Raw genomic sequence first — 4142 nt, 5'->3', positions numbered from 1 at the left:
ACCTTTTTTATAAAATAAGTTACCCCGAGTCTCAAGTATTGTGTTACAGCCACACTAAATGGCCTAAGACAGTGTAACAGCGGCTCGGGGGTGGTGGGCCACTAGGTGGGTGTGATATAGAGCAACAAAGCCTGAGGATGGAAGAAGGGTGCGGTGGCTGCTCACCCTGGGTGGGACATGCTCCCGAAGTGGTCCAGGTCCAGGAGGGCACGTTGCAGCAGCAGCTGGTCCATGGGGGTGGGGCACAATGTCAGTTCCTTCTCTGAGGGGAGTGCTGGGGCTACTGGGCCCCTCTTGCTTCCTTATCCCTGCAGGGAGACATCCCCTCTGCTTCAGGCTGATCCCTCTGGGGGAATGGGTGGTGGGGGCCAGATGTTTCCTTCCCTCCTTTATGTGACTGTCCTGTTTTCCGGGCTCTACTGGATTTCTGCTACTCCTTGATGCACTCTGGGGCTCTCCTTTAGTGACTTTCATCAAAATATAGCTGTTTGCTGCTTTGGCTGTCTTTGTCAGGGGATGAGTGCAAGGGGTTATTGATCAGCCCCTTGCTGGCATCACTCCCTCTTAAACTTTTCACTGGATACTCTTTTGAACTATTTTTTCCCCCACCATATACATGTATTTTTTAAACGTTAATGTGCTAATTTCTACTGAAGCAATGTGGATTTTTCTGAAAGTTTTAATGTTTTAATAAGCTTTTTATTGAAATGTTAATGTACATACAGAAGAGTGCCCGAATCATAAGTGTGCATCTAGATGAACTGTAGCACACCAGGCTGCCACGCCCTGGACCAAGCAGTAGCCTTGACCTGTGGCCTCTCCCAGGCACTGCTGCCCCAACCTACAAAATAGCTACTTTCCCAGTTCCTGATGTAGATTTGTTCTGCCTGGTTTTGACTTCTATAAAATACAGCACATTCTATTTAGCCTGGCTTCTTTGGTTCAGTATTACAGAACACATCCATGTTCTTGTCTATGGCAGACATTGATTTATCGTCATTGTTGAGTTCCATTATATGACTGTGTCACCATTTTTCCATTGATGAGTAAAATGATTTCCTATTTTTGGCTGTTATCCCACGGCCCTGAACACTAGGTCTGGATATGGGACTTGCAGGTATGCAGGGGCACACACACTTCTGCTGGAGGATCCCTGGGTGGGGTGGAGACTCCAGGGCACCTGTGCTCTGCTTCAGTGTGGAGGCTTCTGTGTTGTGTTCGGGGAGCACAGTGGCTTGGCCTCCGCCACCAGCAGCAGCTTAAAGAGTTCCTGCTGTTCCACATGCTTGCCAACAATTGGCCTCTTCAGTTCTTTTTTTTTTTTAGGTTTTCAGTGCCTGCCTGGACTTGTGTTTTCATTTAGATTTTGGTTTCTTAGAATTTTCGTTATTCTCTTCACAGCTTAACAATGCATTTGAAAAGATTTGTTTTCATGTGGAGTATTCAGTTTTGTAATAAGAGGGTTGTTCAAGGCATCAGTCTGCCACTCTGCTAGAAACAGAATTCTCCCAGGCATTTTTTTTATATAAAGTAGTTAATGAAATTTTGAACCATCTTACATGAATTTTTATTAAAATACACTTCAGGATGTGGTGCCCATTATCCATTCTACTCTTTTGTAACAAGTAGATTTCTCTGAATTCTTGAATTTGAAAACAATTGGGGTTCCTAAACAGAGAATATGGAATATTATTGGGGATGATGTCTTTAATAATACATTTCAAGATAGGAGAAACTTTTTCTATATAGTTGACTTTAATAAAAGCCTAGGGCAAAACTTTCAATATATTAACAGTATTTATGAGGCAGTTAAGAATTTGGGTCATCTCCGTCTCCACTAAAAATACAAAAAATTAGCCAGGTGTTGCGGCGGGCGCCTGTAGTCCCTGCTACTTGGGAGGCTGAGGCAGGAGAATGGTGTGAACCCAGGAGGCGGAGGTTGCAGTGAGCCGAGATCATGCCACTGCACTTTAGCCTGGGCAACAGAGTGAGACTCCGTATCAAAAAAAAAAAAAAAAAAAAGAATTTGGGTCATCTCAATTAAGCATTGAATTTAAGATTACATTGAAAATTCAGTACAGAGTATTTTGCCTTCATCTGTTGTTTGAGTCTCCCTTCTTTCAGCCATCCTTCCATCAGAAATAGAATACCAAGTTAAACTTCTTAATTAGAATCAGGAATCAGGACTCCTTGGCTGCTGATTGAAGGAAGAAGTGTCCTTAAATCCAGAGTGGGCCGGGCATGGTGGCTCATGCCTGTAATCCTAGCACTTTGGGAGGCCAAGGCAGGTGGATCCCCTGAGGTCAGGAGTTCAAGAGCAGCATGACCAACATGGTGAAACCCCATCTCTACTGAAAATACAAAAATTAGCCGGGCGTGGTGGTGTGTGCCTATAGTCCCAGATACTTGGGAGGCTGAGATAGGAGAATTGCTTGAACCTGGGAGGTGGAGGTTGTGTGAGCCAAGATCGCGCCACTGCACTCTAGCCTGGGCGACAGGGCGAGACTCCATCTCAAAAAAAAACAAAAATCCAGAGTGGTTGGTAGTCAAGACAAAAAGCTAGATTATTTTTGTTAGTCTGGGAACTAAAAAAAATGGTTGTAACTTTGAAGCCTTTTTATGGATCAACATGAAGATTGAGGGATCTCAAATAGAAAGGGCATCCTGGTGGCAAAGGATAATGATTACCAGACTGCAAGAGTACTTTCAATGGCAAGAAAGCAACAACAGAATCAATGAAAACAAAGCAATGATTAGAATGCCCTTTCCCCTTCTCCTCCTGACCTGTAGACGCTGATTGTCTTCCTTGGACTTAGGGAACCCTTTAAGTTCTTGAAAAATTCAATGATCAGGCTATAGTAGATAGTCCCCAGTACACAGCACAAGATGTTTTGATAAACTGGACATTTTGAGACCCAAATAACTAATTAGAAAAATCAAACATGTGAAACTACTTTATCCTATGCATAGGGGTTATACTGGAAATAAAATGTACAACATTGGAATCCCTAAGGAGAAAAGTCCTAAAAGTTTCAATATCAAGAATCCCGCACCTGCTGCTACTTATCTAGCCTTTTGCTTGATTTCTGGCTGACGAAGTTGCACAACTCTTGAAAACTAAAAACCTTGAAAATTTGTCACTTGAAAACTACTTGAACCAAACTATGAAATCTGACCTGCTATATAAGATGGAATTGTTACAATTATTTTAAACTTCAATTTAGTGTTCTGCTCTATCAAAAGAAAGTTTCAACTCTGTTAGTTGAGTGCACACATCCTAAACAAGTTTCTGAGAATGCTTCTGTCTTCTTTTTATGGGAAGATATTTCCTTTTTCACCATAGACCTCAATGCGCTCCAAATGTGCACTTCCAGATACTACAAAAAGAGTGTTTCAAACGAGCTCTATGAAAGGGAATGTTCAAATTTGGGACTTGAATGCAATCCTCACAGAGATTTTTCTGAGAATGCTTCTGTCTAGGTTTTATATGGACATATTCCCGTTTCCAACGAAATCCTCTAAGCTATCCAAATATCCACTTGCAGATTCTACAAAAAGAGTGCTTCAAAACTGCTCTATCAAAAGAAAGATTCAACTCTGTTAGTTGAGTACGCACATTCCAAACAAGTTTTGAAAACTGCTTCCGTCTAGATTTTAGGCGAAGATATTCCCTTTTTCACCATAGACCTCAAAGAGATCTAAATGTCCATTTCCAGATACTACAAAAAGAGTGTTTCAAAGCTGCTCTATGAAAGGGATTGTACAACTCTCTGACTTCCATGCAAACATCACAAAGGTGATTCTGCGAATGCTTCTGTCTAGATTTTCTATGAAGATATTCCCTTTTCCAAGGAAATCCTCAAAGCTATCCAAATATCCACCTGCAGATTCTACAAAAAGAGTGTTTCAAAACTGCTCTATCAAAAGAAAGGTTCAACTCTGTTAGTTGAGTAAACACATCACAACGTAGTTTCCGAGAATGCTTCTGTGTAGTTTTTGTGGCAAGATATTTCGTTTTTCACCTTACACCTCAAAGCGATCAAAATGTCCACTTCCAGATACTACAAAAAAGTGCTTCAAACCTGCTCTGTGAAAGAGACTGTTCAACTCTGTGACTCGAATGCTAACATCCCAAAGAGGTT

This window comes from Homo sapiens, chromosome 2 (genome assembly GCF_000001405.40).
Source record: "Homo sapiens chromosome 2, GRCh38.p14 Primary Assembly".
In the NCBI taxonomy this organism is placed as follows: domain Eukaryota; kingdom Metazoa; phylum Chordata; class Mammalia; order Primates; family Hominidae; genus Homo; species Homo sapiens.
This window is presented reverse-complemented; position numbering follows the sequence as displayed.